Genomic DNA, 24,965 nt, shown 5'->3' with positions numbered 1-24,965 from the left:
AAGCTGAGAACCCTCCTGGGCCCTCATGGCATCCCTTTCCCACCCACCTCCACCACGCTGGCACTAGTGGAGACAGCTTAGGACAAATGTTGAATATATTGCTTTATTTTGTCTTTAATCTCAGAGGCCCTGGCTTTTGTTAGCAAGCTTAAGAGATCAAAAAAGGTATTTCTAATTGGTTTTAGTGTTTCTGATTTTAGACTCTTTTGTATAAATATGGAAAGTCAGCACCTAGAGTCCACTGCAATAAAGCACCACAGGAAGTGTTGTGTCTCCTCCAAAAGAAGAAAGAAGAAGATGAGATGGAGGGTTGGCAGGGGCTCAGAGGCATGTTCAGCCCTAAGGGACAAGAGCTGCCCCCTCCCTCCCAGGCTTGAAAGGGACAGGACTACAGGCAGGTGACATGACAACAGAAGCTTCTCAGTATAACAGAGCCACTGCAGGAGAATCCAGATAGGAAAGTCTCCTGATTTGCTCCAGGTATGGCCTAAAGAGCTGCGGCCAGCTTGCAGACAGTCTGGGCCCATCATGGCCTTGACTGAGCAGGCAGCCACAGAGAAGGGTCTAGAACAAAAAGGGCTCACATAGGCCAGTGCACTCTGACCCTGCCCAGCCCCAGGACCCGTCCCAGAAGGGCACAGAGGTAACGTCTAGAAGAAAGCAGAGAGTCAGTGGCTCAGGAAGATCCACTGCCAATTCCAGAGCTCTGACATGCCCAGGCCGCTCTAGGGCCAGCTCTAAAACAGTAGAGTCCAGAGAGGTCATGGACTCGCACACTGCATCCCAATTCTAAGAAAACAGATACCTGGGAGAAGGAGAGGATGAAAAGCCTGAATCAATCCAGTTTTTGCCCGAAAGTGACTGCATCCAAAACCCAAACTGGCCAAGTCCAATTAACTTTGTAAGACTGGAGTGTTTGGCTATCAGTGGAAGAACGAAATAAGAAATTTTAGAAAACCCTAGAGGAAGCTTCCTGCTACAGAGATAGCGCAGAAGAGCTGAAACACAAGAACTCTGCAGACACCTGTTCATCAACAGGATCAAATCAGGTCCCCGGAAGCCTCCCTGCCTCAGGGGAGGACTGAGGAATCAGCGTGCCCTGTTGGGAAGCACTCTCCAGGAACAGTTTCACAGTGCATGCACTACCAGCATCAAAAAGAAACCAAAAGGAACCATGGAGGGGCAAGGGGAAACCCAGCACAAACATCTAACTACACGCACGGGAGGAACAGTGAGCAAGGGAGGGGTCTCTCCATGTACCTCGACTTCGGTTTTTTACTGTGGAACTGAACCATGCAATTATTTTATGTGCCTAAAAAGAAAAATTAAAAACAGTTATACCTAAAAGATCAAAACCAAAATGAAATAAACCTGTTACCAGCATGACCACAGAGAGAAGAATTATTTCGAGCGATGAGAAAATGCATATTTGACTGTATGTCTGGTAGAATATAATGCAAGGACAAAAATAACCACAAAGAAATCTCCAATTGCATTCAGCAGACTTATTGTTGAAAATAATATTGGCAATGTTATTTTGAGCCTACTATATATGGAAAGATGAAATAAATAATATTACTGTCATTAGAATTTTCAGCATCACCAAAAAGATACAAATATAAAAATCCAAGGAGTGAAGTGAATTGGAAATATCAATATAAACTCATAATTTATTTTTATTTTCCTAAAAAAAAAATCCTATCTCAATGCCCTAAAAAGCCTCGGACCAATTACAACCCAGATTATGGTGTTGAAAAACCATTTCCCACTGAAAGAAACCAGGCCTTCTAGAAAAATGATTAGTCTGAAGATGCTGCTCAGAGGTGACTGACCTTAAAAAAAAAAAAAAAAAAGACAGAAAACAGAAAGTAACCTGAACAGGCTCCCACTTGCCAAAATAGGAAATTTAACACCAAAAATAAAAAAGACGGCAATCGATCAAAACACATCAAATTTTTAAAAATCCATGACTTCATAACGGGGTGCTGATTATTATTTTGAAAACTGATAAGTAAAAAGAATTGAACATTTACTATTTTTGAGAATAACCAAATAGCTGAATAAGTATTCTTTTTTAGAAAAAATCATGAGCTAATAATGCTGAAGAAATTAGGGAATTAAAAACCTCCACCTTGCAAAGTCAAATGCAACACAAAATGTCAGCCATGCTTGCAAGGCAGCTGCTATAAAACCATTGGGTGCAATGTGGATGGGAGACCATTGATGGACGGGTCTCACTGATAACCGCTCCACCATCAACCTCAACCTGGCAAGAAGAAAAGGAGCCAGCACCTGCCTGCTAGAGAGAAGCAACGAGAAGTGCACAGCCACCCAGGGAAGGGTTATTAAAACAACAACAACAACAACAAAAGCAGATCCAAGAAACTACTAAGTCTCCTGAAGATCTACCAGTTCATAGAAGCCAACAAGTGGGCAGGAGGAGCACATAAAAAAATGTCACAGAGGATGGGGGGCCAAAATGGGAGGGGCACTGTTAAAGACTAAAAGGGAAATCCCAAGACTAGCTAATTCCTAGAAACAGTAAATACTTTCACATGCAAACCAACCCATCCCCAGTCCATCCCCTGACCACCCTTTGTCTAATCTAATTCTCACCTACCTGCCCTAAATCACCCCCTGGCCAGGTACAAACCAGGGCCCACTCCTATAGCCCTGAGCCCATGCACATTATTCAAACTATCTAATCCTAAACCTGATAAGCTGCTTAACCTGCCCCACCCCTTCCTTACCCTGAAACCACAATGAAGGCTCAAGGCCACACTGTCTCCTTCCTCCTTCTGCCTGCTGATGACCTGGGTGCTCACTGTGTGGCCCTGTTTGGCATGGCATGCATGCCCTCTGGTCTACAGGCTGTGAGTAATAAACTTCCCTCAATGGCACGGGACTGTCTGTGTCATTGTTCAGTCACCTCCAAATATTAAAATCTCGCAAGACAATCAAGACATATGTCCATCTCATTTGTATCCTGGTTGGAACAAATCAGCCAGGATGAAAAGACATTTTTTTTTTTTTTGAGACGGAGTCTCGCTCTGTCGCCCAGGCCGGACTGCGGACTGCAGTGGCGCAATCTCGGCTCACTGCAAGCTCCGCTTCCCGGGTTCACGCCATTCTCCTGCCTCAGCCTCCCGAGTAGCTGGGACTACAGGCGCCCGCCACCGCGCCTGGCTAATTTTTTGTATTTTTAGTAGAGACGGGGTTTCACCTTGTTGGCCAGGATGGTCTCGATCTCCTGACCTCATGATCCACCTGCCTCGGCCTCCCAAAGTGCTGGGATTACAGGCGTGAGCCACCGCGCCCGGCCGAAAAGACATTTTTGAGACACAAGGGTGAACCGAGCCCAGACTGGGTTTTAGAGATGATGTAACTTTCATCAGTTTGGTTGGGTATGATAATGGTATCGTGGTGGTGCCAGGTCAAAAGTTCTCAGATGATAGAGTTAAAGGATTTATGGAGGCAGCGAGATGATGTCTAGGATTTGAGGGAAGGCAGAGGGTAGAGACCAAACAAGACTAACCAGACATTAACAATTGTTGGAGCTACATTACGGGTGAGAATTCACTTCAGGCCTCCAGTGTGGCCAGTTTTTTAGCAGCTCACAGAACTGGGGTATGGGAGCAGCAAAGGATGTACAGACTTTCCAGTGTCCTTTTCACATTTTATAGTCATAGAAACCAAGACATGAGGATGACGTGGGTGCAGTCCTTGCAGCTGCCTGGTGATTCCTGGCCTCGGAATCAAGCCCAGTGAAAGGATCCACAAGGAGAGCAAAGGCTGGGAGGGGCTGAGGAAGTATGGAAGTGAATACACAGCTCCATGAACCTGAGACTTGACAGGGACAGCTCTGTCTCCTGGGCTGGCTTCCATGAGTCCCTTTTGGAAATATCCAGAGTAAACACAAAATAAATGAAAAATAATGACCTCACTAACACAAGCCATAATAATGTCATCTTTTGGCAATTAAAGGTTGAACAAAATGGTCAGACTGTGAGATAGAGCAGGGACCCCTCTTAGGGGTATGCAGGACCCCACAAGCATGGAAATAAAGGAAAATCCTGAGTTCCTTCAAGGGAAATTCCAGGCTCCCAGCTAGCCCTGAGAGGTAAATGAGCAACCTGATAAGCAAGAATATAACAGTAGCTTAAAACAATAGCCAAGGAAGTTAAAGTTACTTTAACAATAGTTAAAAGTTAAAGGATGTTTGGTCCCCTATAGAAAATAAAGATAACATCTTAACATATGTCCCTGAGTTGTTTTTTAGAAACCTAGACCCCAAATGGATATGCTGGCGACCTCAAATAATGGAGAACTGAGGACTGAACTCTGACTGCCAATCTTTGTCCTAAATTTCTTCCTTAAGGGCCTGAAGGAAGTCACACCCACAAGCCAGAGCTGACATTCTTTTCTGTTGCCTCGACATTTTAAACAAAACTTCTCTTCTTTAACCAATTAAAAATCAGAAAATCTTTGACTTTGACTCTACCTAGGAGTCCTATTCAAGATATCCCTATTCAAGATATCCCATCTTTTTAGGCCAAACCAGTGTATAACTACCATGTATCAATTTATGATTTTGTCTGTAACTTCTGCTTTCCTGAAATTTACCCCTGCCTTTAAAAACCTTGCTTGCAAGCCATTGGAGAGGTTCTGTCTTAAGCGGGAGCTGCTCAATTCTCCTTGCTTGGCACCCTGCAAATGAAGGCCCTTCTTTCTCCTGCTGTAGATATTTCTCCCTCCATGTAGATATTTTGGCTTTACTGTGCTGGGCAATCAAAGCTAGGTTCAGTTGAGTAACAACTGCACCATAAAGCCATGAATGTTCGCCTTGTCATCTATGACCAGGAGGCCCAGTACTGTGTCAGCCTGTAGGAGGATTCTTAAACCCGGCACAACACTTGTCTTATATTCCCTTAAAGCAAATTATATGAATGCAAGCGATCCTAACTTAAACACTCATTAAATCATTGCTCAACTACTCCTCTGTGTTGGGTCCCCATGGATCAGAATGTCTACTGATGTGTCCATGTTTGGGGTCAGCACAGACTTTCAGAGGCCATCAGTTGGCTCAGCATATCCCACAGGATTACTTAGATCCAGGTAGCCTCAAGCCCAGTCCAAGGAATGGGAATGTCTCATGGGGGTTGTCTAACCTCACCACACTGACCAGTCTACTCTTGCACTGATCCCCATCAGGGACCCGCCTGTACCATCTGAAATCTGAATGCATCTCTGGCATGCGCCAGGAAACAGTCACTGTGGGACTGAGAACTTACAACAATGTGAGGTGCTCTCATTGGGAAAAAAATGTTCCCAGAAGGGTCTTGGAGTTATGACCAGAACTAAGGGGCTGTGCTCCCATCCACTTGAGGAATGGGATCAGGATGAGCCCCAGGCAGCCCAGCTGATAACCTGCCAAGCTAGGATTGTCTTACCTCTGCAGATGGCACACAGTGAACCCCTCCATGCTGCCCCACAGTCTTCTGGAAATGGATGAAGGAACTGTATGCTTAGTTCAACCAGTTCATGTTCCTGTTAAGAAAACTGACATCCAGAGAAGGGGCCCTGTCCCTCCACAGGTGAAGGTGGAATGAGACTGGGCCTTGGCAGGTGTTTCTCATCAATTCAAAGGGGTGTGGCCAGTCTCCCAAATATACATGGGTATTAAAGCAAATGTAAATCTAACAAGTATCCAATAAATGGGGAAAAGGTCAAAAATATTGTTCACATCTGTGACTATCAACCATGGCTAAGGAGGTAAATAAACCATCAGCTACTATCGAGACTAAGGCAAACATGTTCTGTGTTTGTTTAACTTCCCCCAGAGACCTTCATAGAGAAAGATATGTTTGGACTGTAGCTGTGTGTAATTTTCCAAGCCTGCACGTCACAGGGGCCACTTGCATCACCAACACAAGGGCCTCAGACTTATGACAAGTTTATATGTGGGACACACATCCCATGTGGTCCTACTTCATGGGGGTCACCTGCATCTCCAACACCAGAGACTCAGAAACAGGCCCTTGCAGCCATCAATTATACAACCTTGAGCCTACAGTCTAAATATGACCCATCCTGGCTACCAGTGGGCTTCAGTATGCATGGACATCTGGCAGCCACGACTCACTATAAACCATTAGAAGGAAAGGTAGCTCTTTCCTGCATATAATGCCCCTATGGAGACCAAAGCATTTAAAAGACATGCTCCATTGCTGCCATACTCCCAGACACAACGTGAGCACATCTGAGGGACACGCATCTCACATGCTCCTACTTCACAGGGGCCACCTGCATGTCCAACAACAGGGACTCACACACAAGACCAGCACATATGAGGCACACACATCCTCCTATGTGCTCCTCAAAAACTGACTCAGGCAGATTAGAGTAAAACATACACTTGAAAAATACGTAACACCAACAATGCACAAAGAAAAACCAAACAAGTAATACAAAAAAAAAAAAAAAAAGGAGCAAACTGGGTCATTCCAATTTTGAACTTTCAGGCAGTTACCTCAACAAAGGGAAAAAAGATTCAAATTGAACTTCTGAAGATGAAAACTAGAGTGTCTGAGATGGAAGCTATACTGGATAAAATTAATGACATGACATACACTGCAGAAGAAAATAGCTACTATCCAAATGAAATAGAAAGGAAAAGAATCCAAAAATTTTGAAGAAAATCACCAATGAGCTACAGGCTCCCTCAAGAGTGGAACTCCCTAATACATGTGGAACTGATGTCCCCGAAGGAGGAAGAGGAGGAGTCATAAAATGTATTTGAAAAAGGATCACCCAGGTTTTTTTTTGTTTTTTGTTTTTACAAATTTGATTTAACTGTAAAACTACAGATGCAAGAAGCTCAACATACTGCAGGCATAGGAAACATGAAGAAAACTCAAATTCACATCAAAATCAAATTTCTTAAAACCAGTGATGAAAAGAAAAAAAAGTAGACAGAGAAGACCTATTTCAAACAAAGAAAGACAGTTGATGGTAGACTTCTTATTGGAGACAGCATGAGAGAAGACAATAGAACAACATCTTTAAAGTTCTGAAGAAAACAAAGCAAAACTGTCAACCTAGAATTCTCCATGTGGTGAAAATACATTTTAAAAAATTTAGGCAAAATAGAGTCTTTCTGAAGTACGAAAACTGAAAGAGTTCATCACCAGCATACCAGCACTACAAGAAATGTTTTTTAAAATTCTTTTATTTATCTTTTCACACATAGGGTCTCAATCTATCACCTAGGCTGGAGTCCAGTGATGTGATCATAGTTCGCTGCAGTCTCAAACTCCTGGGCTCAAGCGATCCTCCTGCCTCAGCCTCCCAAATAAGTAGGACTACAGGTATGTGCCACCACACCCAGTTAAGTTTTTTCTTTTTTTCAGTAGAAATGGGGTCTCATTATGTTGTCCAGTCTGGTCTCAAACTCCTGGCCTCAAGTGATCCTCCCACCTCAGTTTCCAAAGTGCTAGGATTACAGGTATGAGCCACCACACCCAGCCAAAAGAAATTTAGGCAGATACATAAAACACAAAGAAATAGACTGCATAAATGAATGAAAAGCAAAGGAAATAGTTACTACATGAATAAACAGATCAGATATTTTTACTGTTTAAATTGCTTTGAAAGAGAATTGACTGTGTAAATAAAATGTAAAATGGAGTTTATAACACTAGAAAAAGTAAAATGTATGGGAACAATGTCATAAAGGCCAAGAAGGAAGAAACAGATGTATATAATTGTAAGTTTCTTATGCTGTAATTAATAAATCATGTGATGGTAGACTGCTAAAAGTTAAAATACCTATTATAAACTTTAAAGCAACCACAAAAATAACAAAACAAAGAATTATACTAGTAAGCCAATAAAGGCAGTGAGATGAAATCATAAAACATAATAAATTAGCAAAATGGCCAAAGAAAACAAAAAAGGGAACAAAGAACAAATGAGACAAAAAGCGAATGGCAAGGTAACAGACCAAACCTAACCACATCACTAATGCAAACAGTCCAAACACTCCAATTGAAAGCAGAGATTGTCATCTTAGGTAGAAAAAATAAAAGCAAAACTAAGAACAAACTTCAAATAAAGAGACACAAACAGGCTGGGTATGGAGGCTCATGCCTGTAATCCCAGCACTTTGGGAGGCTGAGGCAGGCGGATTCCCTGAGGTCAGAAGTTCGAGACCAGCCTGGCCAATATGGTGAACACCCTTCTCTACTAAAAATATAAAAATTAGCTGGGTGTGGTGGTGTGCACCTGTAATCCCAGCTACTAGAGAGGTTGAGGCAGGAGAATCTCTTGAACCCGGGAGGCGGAGGTTACAGTGAGCCAAGATTGCGCCACTGCACTCCAGCCTGAGCGAGACTCTGTCCCAACAAAAACAAACAAACGAACACACACAAACAGACTAAAAATAAAAGGATGGAATAAGACACAGACCCTCCACATCCATGGGTTCTGCATCCATGGATCCAACCAACTGCAGATGACAGAATGTAGTTAGGCCTATCAAGGTTGCATCTATACTGAACATGTACAGCTTTTTTTATTGTCATTATTCCCCAAACAATACAGCATAACAACTATTTACATAGCATTTACACTGTAGTAGATATTATAAGTAATCCAGAGAAGACTTAAAATATAGAGGAGGATGTGTATAAAGGTTATATGCAAATACTATGCCATTTTTTATAAGGGACCTGAGTATCCAGATTTTGGTATCCATTGGTAGTCTTAGAACAATGCCCTGTAAGTATTGAGTGACAACTATTCTTTCTGACAATAGTCAAAGGAAAGTTGAAATGGCTCTATTAATATCAGACAAATGGGATTACAAAGCAAAAAATATTACCAGAATAAAGAAGGTCATTTCTTAATAATAAAATAGTCAATTTATCAAGAAGACATAACCATTACAAATATTTAAAAATTGAATAACAGTTTAAGAATACATGAAGTAAAAATAGAACTGAAAGAAAAAATGTACAATTATGTTGGAGATTTTAATACCCCTCTCTCAATAATTGAGAGAACAAGTAGCCAGGAAATCAATAAAGATATGGAAGACATGAACAATTCTATCAACCAATTGACCTAATTGGTACTTACTGAACACACTCTTAACAACAGAATTCTACAAAATCAGAGCACTAAACCACCAAAGTAAGCCATATTCTGGGCCATAAATTTAAGAGGCTTCAAATAATAAAAAGTATGTTCTCTGACCACAAAAGAACTAAATTAGAAGTAAAAAACAAGATCTTTGAAATATCCCTGAATCACATCTCTAAATAACCCATGGGTCTGGAAAAAAAAAAAAAAAAAAAAAAAAAAAACAAGAGAAATTAGAAAGTATTTTGAACAGAATTAGAAAAACACACAACATACCAGAAACTGTGGGATACTGCTAAAGTAATACTTTCAGGTAAGTTTACAACAATAAATTCTTATATTAAAAGACATAAAAAATGTTTAATTAATGGCTTTGGCATCCACCTTAAGAAACTACAAAAAGAAGAACAAATTAAACCCAAAATAACCAGAAGAAAAACAATAATACAGATACGAAAAGAAACTAAATAGAAAAAATAGAGAAATCAATCAAATGAAAAGCAGTTATTTTTTAAAAACTCAATGAAATTGATAAACTTGTAGCCAAAATGATCAAAGAGAAGACAAAACTTACCAAAACCATGGATAAAAGAGGTGACATCACTATAGATTCTACAGATATTAGAAGGAAAACAAGGAAATACTATGAAGAACTACCACCAAGCTTATTTAAGGAAAAAAAAAAAACTGACCTCACTAGCTCTATTTAAAGAAATTAAATTTGTAGTTAAAAACTTTTCCACAAAGAAAATATCAGGTCCAGATGGATTCACTGGTAAATTCTACTACACATTTAAGAAAGAAAGAATACCATTTCTACAAAAACTATTCCAAAAAATTCAACAAAAGGAAATGTTCCCAAACTCGTCTATGAGTTAAGCATTATCTTGACACCATGTACAGAATAAGAAAGCCACAGACTAATATCTTTAAGTAACATAAATGAAAAATTTTCTAAACAAAATTTTAGAAAAGCAAAGCCAACAATAAATAAGGATAATGCAATACAAATCCTCCTCAACTTCTGATGGGGTTACAACCCATAAATGTATGGTAAGTTGAAAATATTGAAAGTCAAAACTGTATGACTGATCAGGAGCTGTGGTTTGCTGCTGCCTCCCAGCATCACGAGAGGGAGGCACTTTGTATTGAATGTGTATCATTTTCCCATCATCTTAAAGTCAAAACAGCATATGTCAAACTATCATAAGTCGGGGACCATCTTTATGTCCAAGTAGGGCTTGTCCAAGGAACAAAAGGATGTTTAAATATCCTACCATCAATCAAGGTAATTCATTATATGAGCAGACTAAAAAGAAAAACCATATGATCCTTCCAATAGATGCAAAAGAATTAGACAAAATTCAACATCCATTTCTGAATCAAAAAAAAAAAAAAAACTCAGCAAACTAGAAATAAAAGGAAACTTGCTCAACTTGATAAAAAGTATCCACAAAAAATCCAACTGGTAATATATTTAATGATGCAAGACAGAATGCCTTCCCCTACTGTTGGGAACAAGACAAGAATGCCTGCTCTTGACACTTCTATTCAACATTGTACTGGTGGTTCTAGCCAGTAAAAGAAGGCAAGAAAACACAAATAAAAGGCACCCAAGCGGGAAAGGCAGAAGAAAATCTGTCTTCATTTGCAAACAACATGATGATTTATGTAGAAAACGTATGTATACGGAAACCTACCAGAAATGAGTGAGCTCAGCGGAGTTTCAGTACAGTTTATCAATACAAAAACTCAATTGTACAGTTGGCCCTTGAACAAAACACAGGTTAGGAGTGACAACCCCCCACACAGTTGAAAATCCATGTATAACTTTTGACTACCCCCAAAAACATAGCTACCAATAGCCTACCATTGGGCAGAAACCTTACCAATAACATTAACAGTTGATTAACATATAAATAGGCTAGTATCTATTTAGGTTGATGCAAAAGTAATTGTGGTTTTTGCTATAAGTAATTTAAGTAATTACGGTTTTTGCTATTACTTTTTTTTTTTTTTTTTTTTGCGATGATGTCTCACTCTGTCACCAGGCTGGAGTGCAGTGGCACGATCTCGGCTCACTGCAACCTCTGCCTCCCGGGTTCAAGCGATTCTCCTGCCTCAGTCTCCCAAGTAGCTGGGACTACGGGCGCCCGCCACCACACCCAGCTAATTTTTGTACTTTTAGTAGAGACGGGGTTTCACCACGTTGGCCAGAATGGTCTCGATCTCTTGATCTCGTGATCCGCCCGCCTTGGCCTCCCAAAGTGCTGGGATTACAGGCATGAGCCACCGTGCCGGGCCTTGCTATTAAAGGCAAAAACCACAATTACTTTTGCACCAACCTAAATACATGTATAATCGTTTATGTATTCATGGCATACTCAAACTTTTCTTAATGTTTTCAATATTTCTAGGCTACGCAGTTCATCTGTGAGTTTTTCCAAACTATCACAAATCTCCAAAGTATTTTCCAATATATTTATTGAAAAAAATCCATGTATAAGTGGATCCACACAGTTCAAATCCGTGATGTTCAAGGGTCAACTGTATTTTGCTATACCAGTAATGAACAATCAGAAATTAAAAGTTAAAAATCAACAGCATTGGCCGGGTGCTGTGACTTACGCCTGTAATACCAGGACTTTGGAAGACCGAGGCAGGTGGATCACTTGAGGCCAGGAGTTCAAGACCAGCCTGGACAACATGGTGAAACCTCGTCTCTACCAAAAATACAAAAATTAGCCAGGCATGGTGGTGTGTGCCTGTAATCTCAGTTACTCCAGAGGCTGAGGTAGGAGAATCACTTGAACCTGGGAGGCAGAGATTGCAGTGAGCCAAGATCACACCACTGCACTCCAGTCTAAGCAACAGAGCAAGACTCCGTCTAAAAAAGAAACAGCTAGGAGCTACTTAGGAATAAATCTGATAAAATATATAAAACACATATACATTGGCCGAGCATGGTGGTTCATGCCTGTAATCCCTGCAACTTTGCGAGGCCAAGGCGAGAGTATCTCTTGAGCTCAGGAGTTTGAGACCAGCCTGGGCAACATGGTGAGACCCTGTCTCTACAAAAAAAAAAAATTTAAAAATTAGCTGGGCATGGTGGCATGTGCCTGTCGTCCCAGCTACTCAGGAGGCTGAAGCAGAAGGATTGCTTGAGCCCAGGAGGTGGAGGCTGCAATGACCTGTGATCACACCACTACACTCCAGCCTGAGTAACAGAAAGAGACTCTGTGTCAAAAAAGAAAAAAGAAATACATATACACTGAAAACTATACATTTCTGAGAAATGTATAGAATTTTTTCTATACATTTTTTCTGAGAAAAAATTAAAGAATATCTAAATAAATCTAAATAAACATACAGTGTTCGTGAATCAGAAGACTATTTTTTAAATGTTAATCCTCCGAAGATTGGTAACATAGATTCAACACAAATCCCAAACAAAATTCCACCAGCCTTTGTTACAGAAACTGACAAATTGATTCTAAAATTCACATGGAAAAGCAAAGCACCTAGAATAGCCAAAAATCACTTTGAAAAAGAACAATAAACTTGGATAAAGCACAGGACCTGATTCCAGACTATACATTATAAAACTACAGGGCCAGGGTGTGTGGTTTTTGATGTCAAGATAAACACATAGGTTAATGGAACAGAATTTTTTAAAATCCAGAAATACATTCAACTACATATGGACAAGTGATTTTTCTAACATTTTGGAAAGGGAATTCAGTAGAGAAATGATAGTCTTTTCAGTAAATGATTCTGGGACAATTAGATATCAAGATAACAACAAAAAAAAATCCAGCTTTGACCCATACCTCGAAACATACACAAAAATTAACTCCAAATGTATTATAAACTTAAATGTAAAACCTCAAACTATAAAACCCCTAGAAGAAAACACAGGAGAAAATCTGACTTTGGTTAGGCAAAGATTTTTACTTTATTTTTTGTAGGTATATATTTATTTACTTTGCAACCTTACTCTGAGATGCAGAGATATGCAGGCTTGGCTTAGATAGCTGGCAAATGAAACAAATGATTGTGATTATTTGTGTATCTTTCTCATGTGAGTTTTCCTTAGGACAATGTGTATTTGTAAAGCTACAGAATTCACATGCGCACAAAAATTATGAATACACTATGTTGTGTTTTCACCTTATTAAACATTAATCTGATAATTGCATCTAATGCTTTGACTTTTTGTGGATGATGTTTGTTTTCAAGTTTGGATGCAGAGCTTATAAAATTGAGAATAAGTGAAATAGTACTCAATTTACTTGTGATATAGTATGTGCTCTGTAAAACAAGTATTTAAGGAAAACTTTTGTTCCCCTGCTGGATTGTGAGGCAGACTAAGTCACAGATTGTATTCTCCTTACATATGCCCGTACCAGTGATTAGCAGTTTCCTGCACAGAGCAGAATGAGAGGACATTTGCAGAGTTAAAATGGAATCCGGTTGCATTATAATGCTAATAAGGACAACGTTATTTGACAATTCTCTAAAACAGACAAAGCTGATAAATGGACAATTTCTAGCATCAAATGTTATCTGGTTATCTAAGAACTTGATGGGATTTTTAAAATGAGTTTATCATATCTTTATGTTAGAGGGTCTCAATGATTTTCAAGTTGGATTTTCAAATACCTGCATAGTTTTAACAACACTGACCCCACTGATCACAGCTTTCCTGGTAACAATGATAATTACCATATATTGAGTGTAAACCTTGTCCTAGGCACTGTGCTAGATGCTTTAGACCTTTTATTATTTTACTTTCCATTATTTTACTTCTCACTAACCAACCAAAATAGTCATATTTAGTCTTATTTTTGAATAAGGAGACTGAAATCCAGAGAGATTTTGGATGGCTGCTCTCAGTGTGTGGTAGGCTGAAATTCCATGCCTCCCGAGACCCCCAGAGATACCCACAGTCAAATTTCTGGAATCTGTAAATGCAAACTTACATGGCAAAGCACAAAACAAAGCAAACAAAAACAAAGATCTTTCTAATGTAATAAATTAAGGATCTTAAAATAGGGAAACCATCTTGGATTATCCAGATAAGCCCTGAATACAATGACCTGTATCCTTATAAAAATGAGGCAGGAGGAAATTTTACACACATACAGAAAAAGGGAAAGAGAGAGGGAGGGAGGGGGAAAAGGCAGAGAGTGAGAGAAAACAGAAGAATGAAGAGGAACACACAGCAATATGAAGACAGAGGGAGACTGGCCCACAAGCCAAGGAATTCCAACAGCCAACAGAAGATGTAAGAGTTAAGGGACAAATTCTCCCTTGGAACCTTCTGGATGGAGTATCGTTCTGCAAATATCTGGATTTTGGCCAAGCAATACTGATTTCAGAATCCGGGCCTCCAAAACTGCTCTCAAAGAAGTTTCTGTTGTTTCAAGCCACCAAGTTTGTGGTACTTCACCACAGTAGCCTTGGGAAACCAACACACAGTTATAGCACTTTGGGCAAAGACTTTTTAAATACAACACAAAAGTTACAATGCATTAAAAAAACTGATAAACTGGACTTCATAAACACTAAAACTTTCTGCTCTTCAAACAACACTGTTAAGAGAATAAACAAACAAGCCAAAGTCTCAGGGATCATATATTTGATGGAGGACTTATATGTAGAACATACAAAGAATGCTCAAAACTTCACAAAAAGAAAAAAGTCAACCCAAATAAAAAGAAGTGGTCAAAAGGTTTCAACAGACACTTCACCAAAAAGATAAATGAGTGGCCAATAAGCAATGAAAAGATGCTCAACCACATTAGCTATTAAAAAATAGGAAATTAAAACCACAATAAAATAGCACCACATGCCTATTAGAAAAAAACTAAAATTAAAAAGACTGACCACATCAAGTGCTGATGAGGATGCGGAGCAACTGGAACTCACACACTGCTGATGGGAATGTGAAATGCTACAATAACTCTGAAAACATTGTGTCTGTTTCATAAAAAGTTAAGCATACGGCCGGGCGCGGTGGCTCACGCCTGTAATCCCAGCACTTTGGGAGGCCGAGGCGGGTGGATCATGAGGTCAGGAGATCAAGACCATCCTGGCTAACAAGGTGAAACCCCGTCTCTACTAAAAATACAAAAAAATTAGCCGGGCGCAGTGGCGGGCGCCTGTAGTCCCAGCTACTAGGGAGGCTAAGGCAGGAGAATGGCGTGAACCCGGGAAGCGGAGCTTGCAGTGAGCCGAGATTGCGCCACTGCAGTCCGCAGTCCGGCCTGGGCGACAGAGCGAGACTCCGTCTCAAAAAAAAAAAAAAAAAAAAGTTAAGCATACATCTGCCATGTTTTTTAGCCATTCTACTTCTAGGTATTTACCCAAGAGAACTGAATACCCATACATAGACTTGTACATGAATGTTCATAGCAGCTTTATTTGTAATAACCAACACCTAGAAATAACCAAATGTCCATCAAAAAGTGAATAAACAGACAAGCTTCAGTACAGCTACAAAATGGGATGATTCTAAGCAATGAAAAGGAATGAAGTACTGACACATGCAACAAGTTGGTTGAATCTCAAAACAATTACACTCAGTGAAAAAAAGCCAGACAATGTAGAGTACATATTGCTTTGTTCCATATATATAAGGTTCTAGAAAATTCCAACTTATTTGTAGTGATAGAAAGCAAATTAGTAGTTGCCTGGACACAGGGAGAGAGTAAAATGAGAAGTGGGAGGAGACAGGGATTGCGAAGGGTCTAGGAAACACTGGAAGATATGCTCAGCATCTTGACTGTGGTGATGGCTTCACACGTGTACATATGCCCAAATGAACAGAACCGTACACATATGCAGCTCATTATCAGTCAATCATACCTTCAAAGTAAGGAGCCCTCTGTGCCACCTAGGACAGTGGGAAGCTGAGGAAAGGTTTGAAACAGGAAGAAGAGCTCCTCATGCTCACCCCATGAGGAGCTGCTGCAGAAATCCCGGTGAGGTGTAACATATCCCAGAGGTACTGAACCACAGAACTCACACGCATTATCGGAAGGCAGGCACTAGTTAGGCCACACGTGGTGCAGTTTGTTGGAAGAAAGAAGCATGCCAGGTTGCAGAAGACAGAGTATTATGTAAACCTTTCCTAGGAAAATTGACAGATTCCCTTTGTATTCAAAAAGTCATCCACACATATTCGAGAACTCTTCTTAATAATTTTCCTAAAGACACCAAAACACAGCCCATGGGATGTCCTGCCTTGGGGAAGGGCAGGGGTGCCTCCTCATATACTCCCCATGTTCCCCTTCCTCCAGAAACCGCTCACCCTCCACCCCTGATAGAGTCTGGGCAGGTCACTCTGCAAGGATCCCAGGACAGGGAAACACTTTCCCTGCTGTGTGAAGAAAGATGTGTTTCCATTCTGTCCATTACAAACTGTGCAGGGGTCTGGAGGGGCTAGAGCATGGGCAGGAGCATGGAGATGGATGGCGGAAACCGAGGTCTTCAGGCAGGGAAAGCGAGAGGCTCACTTGGCTGGAAGGTTGGGGTGTGAGGAAAACCCATGGGGTCAGAGTGGAGAATGCCAAGAGACCCACCTCTGAGGCCTAGTGGCCTGTATACGAGCACAAGCTTTAGAGAGTGGCTCTCAGCCTCTGGCCTGCAAAATCCAGGGCAGTTAGCAAAATGCAGATTCCTTATCCCTAAGACTCTGATGAGTGGTTCTGGATCTGGCCTAAGAATCCACCTTAAGGTGTCCCAGGTGACATGACAATTGCTTCTCAATCATGTGCTGAGAAATAGCAAAGAACCTCCCCACCAGGAGCCTGCCAGGGGCAGCCTCATGCTCAGCCATGGCTGTGCATATGCGAAGTGGGCGCCGGGGGTCTTGGGGAGCTTGGTATCCTCCCTCCAACCCCACAGGACACTCACTACCACCTGGTGACAGCCAGTCAGACTTGTGCTTGCTCTGCAGATGCATCTCCCCACGAGTGGATTCTGGAGCCTGTTTACAGCTATGGGGAGGGTAAGAAGTGGCCCCTGCTCTTCAGAGCCATCATGCACAGATAGTTGAGCCCTAAGGAAACCCAAAGCCAGCTGTCCCAGGTACTGACCCTGCTCCCAGCCCAACTCAGCTTCCCCAAATGAGGCTCCTGCTGGCCAAAAAGTGCCTGTTGTAGGCCACCCCAGCCCCTCCTCTGGCCATTCTCATATGTGGGCGCCATCAGAGGTCCCCCAGCTTCAGGTAACAGGCCAAGGAGTCTAGAATCCATCGGAGAGGACACACTGGCATGGCACTGTCCCACTTAAACAGGCGGGGATAGCCATTGTGTGCCAGGCTCCATGGTCAGCGCTGGGACTCAGTGCCAACTCAGACATGTGTATGGGCTGTCCACAGGCCAACCCCTCCCTGGAAAACAGCCACACACACAGTGATGAATGAGTAGGGTTAGCTGGACAGGATGCACCCGTTCCACAGAAGGCTGGTGAAAGGTCAGAGGCCCAGTGGGCAGAGACCTAGAGAAAAGATGGCCTTTGGGGCTTTCAAGGATGAGTAGGAGTTCTCTTCTAGGGAGACAGGCTTCGGAGCCATAATGACACCGCTTCCAATCCTGGCTGTGGCTCTGGGGATGTTGTTTTACCACATGAGCCTCATTCTGCTCACTCTTAGAATGAAGATGACATCATGTGCTGGCCAGGATGTTACAAAGACTTCTGTGAGGTCAACAACTTGGCCTTTGTCTCCTCATGTTGCATAGTGCAGCCAAACTCAAGACTTTCAACTAAGGCTCTTAAAGTTCTACCCTGATTTTGAGGGCAGGGGTCAAGAGAAGAAACAGGTCCAGCCCCTTGTGCCTGCATCTGCTCACATTGGAGCATCTCCTTCTGGCCCTCTAGTGCTATAAAACAATTGCTGGTCAATATGTGCCCCCACCCACACACTGCCCAGCCCTCTGCACCCCAAGGCTGTCACTCTGTGGTGGCATTAGTGCACTAGGGCAAGGCCCCGTCCTCCTTCCTGCCTGGCTGGTGAGATCCCTAATCGAGCTCCCCTCTGCTCCCATGTGGTCAAGGGCTTCATGCCCAAATGGATCCCATTTACAATAATGTGTTCCTAGAAACTAGAAAATATTCTCTTCAGCTCAAACTCAAATGTTGCTGGGGACTGAGCAGCCAATTTACACCAGAGTTGTAGTTATCGGGGGTGATGCTATTTCTGCTGCTGCAGGGACTGCTGCTTCATTTCTCTCTGCTGTGCTCCTCGTGGGCACGTGGAGCTCTCAGCTGGCAGAATTCAAGGGCTGCATGAAGGCATCTTGCAGCTGTAATGATATCCTAACCTCTGCCAGCACTGTCAGCCCTGCTACCCAGAAACAGCGTCCCCAAGAACAAAGGCGGCCAGCAGCACAACCTGGAGGCTCCACGGGGCTGACTCCCAGGACACTCCACCGCCCAGAGGCCAACACATCAGCCACTGCTCAGCTGCTGGGCAGGCACATGGCAAACACAGGGCGTATGGATGTCTTTAAACGTAACACTGTTTGGGTGTCACGGTTTAGAGCAGAGGCTGGCACGCTGAGGCCGTGGACCACTCCTTGTTTTGTAAAGTTTTACTGGTGTACAGCCACACCCATTTGTTTACGTATTTGTGGCTGCTTCTGTGCTCCAAGAGCAGAGTTGAGTTGCTGCAACAGAAACGATACGTAACCCACAGAGCCTGAAATATTTACTATCTGCCCTTCACAGACCTCGTCAGCTAACCCCAGGCAGAGAGCCTCGCATTAGGGGCTGGTAGGTCCAGAGCCACCAAGCCTCTAGGAAGTAGCTGGTTCTCCCTGACCCTCAATCTCCTTCTCTTGGACATGGGTTAACACCACAATCCTGCATGGTCACTGGGAGAAGCAAATAGCAGAGTGCAGGGCTTTGTGCTTCAGCAGGTGTCTGCAATGCACACATCCGTGCACACATGGGAAGTCAAGAGGACAGACTCCCCTGACACAAAACCATGTCAGCTCAGTCCCCATTTCTCATGAGGTGACTGTGTTCTGTGCTGCCAAAGGTCTCCAAGAGAATGTTCCCAACCAAAGGTGGTGACCCACAGGGGACACACAAGGCACATACATGCATATACAGATGCACACTCACACAGGTACACACACATGCACATACTCATATATATACCACATGCATGCTCACCTACACACATGTACACACGTGTGTTCATGTAAGCACTCACACATGTAACACATCTACACACATAACACACATATGCATTTGCAGGCACACAGGCTCACTCATGTACATTCCCACACATGCACACCCATGTTCACACATTCATGTGTACACACGTGTGCACATGCATGCTCACATATGTGCACACTCACACACATATGTACAGGCACACACATCTCAATACATCTCTCACTCCACTTGACCCATCAGGCATCTCCACCACGTACGTCACCCACTCTCTGATGCGTGTGTGCATTCTTCTTGATAAAAGTATGTAAGCCAGCATCCCAGGCATGAATCAGTGTCCTGGCAAAAGAGCCAAGTAGGTTTCAAGGAGCCACTTGGAACATGGAAACATGAGATGACAGAGCATGTGACGATGCCTCGAAACAGGCCCAGAGCCCCCGCCCATACACCCTGGACAGTGGCACAGATAGAAAGGAACAGCAGAAGCCAAGGCCTGGGACCAGGGTGACAGCCCAGCACCATGAGCAGCAGGCAGCTCTCCGTGACACCTTCAGCCTCTCCTAGGAGCCAGCACTTCTTTATCAAAGGAAGAAACTGCAAAGCAACTGGGCTGAAATAAGGTGCCTCATAAGAGAACTAGAGCCACAGGGAGTCTACAGCAGGACTGCAAAGGGCCTGGGCTGACCCAACGTGGGTCCTGTCCCCTCACAGACAAAGGTGCTCATCTCAGGACTGCCAGGAAGACAATCAGATGCTAGGAGTGGAGGGCCCAGCATCAGCTCCAAGCACGGTGAGAGAGAAAAGGCCCAGGTGGGGCCAAGCGGGACCCTCCAGAAAAAAGTTCCCAAGATGACCAGCTTCCTGCTGAAGGGGTGGGAAGCAAGGAGCAGGCCCAGGACACAATACTGGCTGCACAGTCCAGGGGACAAGCCTAGTGGACAGCCCAGACAAGACTGCAAGGGCATTGCAGACCAGAAGCTCCAGTGCCCAGCAGAAAGATGAAGTGGGCTTTCCCAAACAGGCTGCTGTGGAACTTTGGCCCAGGCTATCAATGGGGTGTGACTGCCCACAAAAATTCCTGTGGGGAATAAAAGGTCTTGAGATCCAGTTGTAAAGTCAGTTTACTTTTCCACTATTTACTGGAAAAGTAAAAGGTGCTGATCTTTTCCACTGTTTATTAGAAAAGTAAACAGTGACTTTACAACTGGATCTCAAGACCTTTTCTTCCCCACAGGGATCTTCCAAAGGGAGTAGCGTCCAAAATCCCCCATGCCCACCCTCCTTCCCCCTGCCCCTCCTACCTTAACCTCTCTCCCTAACCAGGTGTCTGCAACAGGCTCCCAAGTTTTCTCCCACCTCCAGTGGGTCCCCCTAACTGCTGCCAGGCATGGCAAGTCTCACCGGCCTCAGCTCGTGTGACTACCGCCTGGCTCTGTCCTGCCCAGCCCTGCCCTGTGCTCAGAATGCCCCTCAGGACTCTGCACAAGCCAGCCCCCAATCAGGGTGCCCTCTTCTCCCCTCCTTCATTAAGGGAGCATCCACATTTTCCCTCAAGACTCTTCACTGTCACCTTCTCTGAAAAGATGCTGCCTTGCTGAACAGAGCTCACTGCCCCTTCCTCTCACACTGATCTCAGCGCCCCTCCCTGACCACCTGGAGTGAGGCTAGACAAGAGGTGAACTTGAACTTGGCTCCATCTCACTGTACTCCTCCCACACCCTCACAGGGCAGGGATGCTAGGTGTCTGGGGTCCAAGGAAACTCGGGTGGGTCAGTGGCCCTGAAAAGCATCACATCCTGGGCTCTCCTGACACCGGACTCCCTCCTCCCCTTCCCTCTTCGAAAGAGGAGACTTCCTGTGCCCATGGTCAGTTGTCTGCAGAAGCCGACCCTTCCTGCACAGTCTGGGCGTGAAAATCTCAGGGAGGATGTGCCAGGTGAATGGCAAGAGGGGAAGTTCCATCACTTGCAAATAGGGCACATTCTAGCTTTCAATCTGATGGCTGATGAGTAGTACAATGTATCCATGGGCAGCGGAGGAAAACGAGGGGTAGGATATCGATGCCATGCAATAGATGTGCTCTCTCTGGGCCTGCAACGTCTGTTGGCTTCTGCAGCTCAGATCCCAGCCCGACATGTCCTATCTCTAAACACAGCACATTCTGTGGGGGAGAAAGGGGGACAGTGGCAGCCCCTCAGGAGCCTTGTGGCCAATGTGACTAAGTCCCAGGAGGGCAAACCTCTGTACAAGGAGGTTTGGCTAGCTTGCTCATCTTTGCTTCCTAACATGCACGTTACAAGCCAACGCTGTTGGTATGGCCTTGGCCCGACATTCAGCAGAACTTGGCTGCCAGATGTGACTGGTCCAAGGAAGGTCTTTCAAAACCCCAGCACGCAGTCTGCTGAGGGCAAGGGTGGCCACTGCCTGCACCAGGCATCAGGAGACGTCAGCAACTGGGCCCCCAGCTGACAAGTTTCAATCCCAGGAGGGTGGCAGACCCAGAATCAGGCCTGCTCCAGTAGAGCCCAGAACGAGGGATTGCAACACCAGCTCTGTCTACAGTGGGACACAATGGCAGCAGGATGGTGCACAGGACAGACCCGTACCTACGTATGGCCTGCACAACAAAGCCTTCTGCATGGAAGCCCCGATTCGACAGCATGCTGGCCATGCTTGTGCAAGCATTTTCTTATCTGGTAAATGCAAGGCTCCGGTTCAAGGAAAGGAATCAATGAACAGTGAGGCTAAAAACAACAGGTGATTTATAACCTTGCTGGAAGAAATGCTTAGCAATCAGTCTAGTTCATGGTCCAAATACAGGGAATCCACCTGGCTTATCGTCACTCCAGAAGCAATTCTAATTTAATTCGAACAAAGAAAAACGCTGCACTTACCGTGGCTAATTCATCGAACTTGCCGAAGAGCTCATTGAGGAGTTTCACCAGCTCCTGGGCTGTGCACTGGGATGCCAAGCCCGTGAAACCCACGATGTCAGCAAACAGGATGCTGCAAGAGAAAGGGGTGCCAGGCTGCCCTTCTCCCAGTCACTCAGGAAATAATCCCTAGAGATGTACAGATGTTTACATCTCCAAATCACTGTAGAATCAATCACCCCATTTATTCCTCAATGCAGACCAGAAATGAAGGCTTCCTGGTTCCCATCATACAGGTGAGAAGACTGAGGCTCAGAAAAGCCACAGAACGCCGAGGCTTGGCCACTGGGGGAGTAAATGCTGAGGCCATTCAGAGCTCGCCATCCCCCATGCTGACCCCTCACACCACATAGGGAAAGCCCATCTGCCCTCCACTAGACCTGCCTCCCCTTCTTGGGGAGGTTACGTGACTGGGATGTGGCCAGCGGCACCGAGCAGAAGTGATGTGCTTTTCAGCATGTGGGCCCCTCCACATCCTAATTTTCCCCTTCTGCCAGCTGAATGCAAGAAACTCCCAGGCCCTGAGTGTGGTGTCAATGCTTCACAATGAAAAGGGAGGGAGTCCCCGAATTCCTGGGCAAAGGGGCCGCCCCCTCAGTCTGCAATGAGAGCAGGAAACACACTGTCTTGCATCAAAGCCTCTACGTACTGAGTGTCTATTTATCACAGCACTGGGGGCAGCCCTAAACGACACAGTGTCTACCCACAGGGCAGAACTTTCATGTTTTCTGGAGATAATAAGACTTTAAAAAGATGTTTCCTATCTCTTCTTGCAATATTAAAACATGCTCTTTGAAAATATTAGAAAAAAATTAATTATATATTTTTGTCTGTAAAAATGTTGTAGCTTTAAGATATCTCTCCACAGGGTCCCAATCATTTATTCACATTTGTTCAAAGTGTTCTTGGCTTTTTCTCTAACTTTGAGGCTTCCTGAACCCAGAACGCCCCCAGCACCACTATAGGAAATAAACGCAAAGTAAAGGAAAATGACCTATTTTGTTCACAACACAGTGTATCGCCAAAGATGGGCCAGCAGGCAGGGACAGGAGGGAAGTAGGGTTCAGAATTGGACTCCAAGGGAACTATCCAGCTCCACTATTGACAGCAACTTATCCAACCGTTCCGCATGTCCGCCATGTAAAATGGGAATAAGACTAGAGTCCAGGTCATACCTTGCCCCTAGTAAGAGCTCAGTGATTGTTCACAATCATTTATAATAATTTTTAAGTATTCTAATTCATTTATTCACTTGCTTATTCAACAAATATTTATTGAGGGCTATATGTGCTGGCATTGCTCTAGGTGCTTGGGATTTAGCAGTGAATAAAAGATTCATGGCAGGGCATGGTGGCTCATGCCTGTAATCCCAGCACTTTGGGAGGCCAAGGCAGGTGGATCACCTGAGTCCACGAGTTCGAGACCAGCCTGAGCAACATGGAAAAACCCTATCTCTACAAAAAATACATAAATTAGCCAGGTGTGTTGGCGTGCACCTGTAGTCCCAGCTACTTGGGAGGCTGAGGTGGGAGGATCACTTGAGCCTGGGAGGTGGAGGTTGCAGTGAGCTGAAGCATGCCACTGCACTCCAGCCTGGGAGACACAGTGGAACCCCGTCTCAAAAAAAAAGGATTTGAACAAACCTCACTGCCCTCAGAAAGACTCCATTCTATTCAGGGAAGGGGCAAACATGCAGAGAACATCAAAGGTGACACATGTAACTATGGAAAAGCAGGGAAGTCAGATATGGAGCTGTGTGTACTGTCAACTAGGATTGGTCACGGGGGTCCTGAAGAAGGGCAGAGGGGGAAAGGGGCACACAGACACTGGGAGAAGAAGATTCTGCATGGTGGTAACAGCAGGTGCTGCTCTTGTGATTTTTGCCGGATACAGAATTATATTTTTATTTCAACCTTTGAACATGCCATTCCACTGCCTTCTGGCCTCCCTGGTTTCCGATGAAAAATCAGCTGATAACCTTGTTGAAGATCCCTTGTAGATGATAACTCGTTTTTCTCTTGCTGCTTTCAAAATTGTTCTCATATCTTTAGTTTTTGACAGTTTGATAATGACATGTCTCAGTGTGGGTCTTTTTGAGTTTACCCACCTTGGAGTGCACTCAGCTTCTTGGATGTGTAGGTTAACGTTTTCCAAAAACTTTGGGACATTTATGGCCATTATTTCTTCAGATATTCTTTCTGCCCCTTTTTCTTTCTCCTCTCCTGTGGGACTCTCAATATGTGTGTACTGATAAGTTTGATGGTGTCCCTTAAGTCCCTGACACTCTCTTCATTTTCTTCATCCTTTTTTTCATTCTGTTCTTCACACTGGATAATCGAGCTATCAAGTTCACTAATTCTTTTTAAAGTGTACTATACATTATTGTTGACTATAGGTAAAATATTGTACAGCAGATATCTACAGCTTCATGGCCATTGACTGGTAATTCCCCATTTCTTCCTCCCCCAAGACCCTATAACCACAATGACACTCTTTAATTCTATGATTTCGACTATTTTAAATACCTCATACAAGTGGAATATTGCAGTATTTTAGTCTTTATGTAACTGACTTATTTCACTTGTATAATGTCCTCAAGTTTCATCTATTTTGTCACATATTGAAGAATTTCCTTTTTTAAGGCTTAACAGCATTTCATTTTATGTGCATAACACATTTTCTTTTAACACCTTTATTGAGATA

At 43.6% G+C, this 24,965-nt stretch overlaps 1 protein-coding gene across 4 annotated transcripts in view; it reads right to left on the bottom strand.

Annotated features, from left to right (window-relative positions):
• Positions 1-24,965, bottom strand: part of ADCY1 (adenylate cyclase 1) — a 148,977-nt gene that overhangs the window by 78,150 nt on the left and 45,862 nt on the right. For all 4 annotated transcript variants that reach the window (NM_001281768.2, NM_021116.4, XM_005249584.4 and 1 more), the window contains one exon: positions 22,224-22,335. In NM_001281768.2, the coding sequence (NP_001268697.1) occupies positions 22,224-22,335 (112 nt within the window). The remainder of the gene's footprint in view (positions 1-22,223; positions 22,336-24,965) is intronic.

The sequence above is a fragment of the Homo sapiens genome, chromosome 7 (genome assembly GCF_000001405.40).
Source record: "Homo sapiens chromosome 7, GRCh38.p14 Primary Assembly".
Lineage (NCBI taxonomy): Eukaryota > Metazoa > Chordata > Mammalia > Primates > Hominidae > Homo > Homo sapiens.
This window is presented reverse-complemented; position numbering and strand designations above follow the sequence as displayed.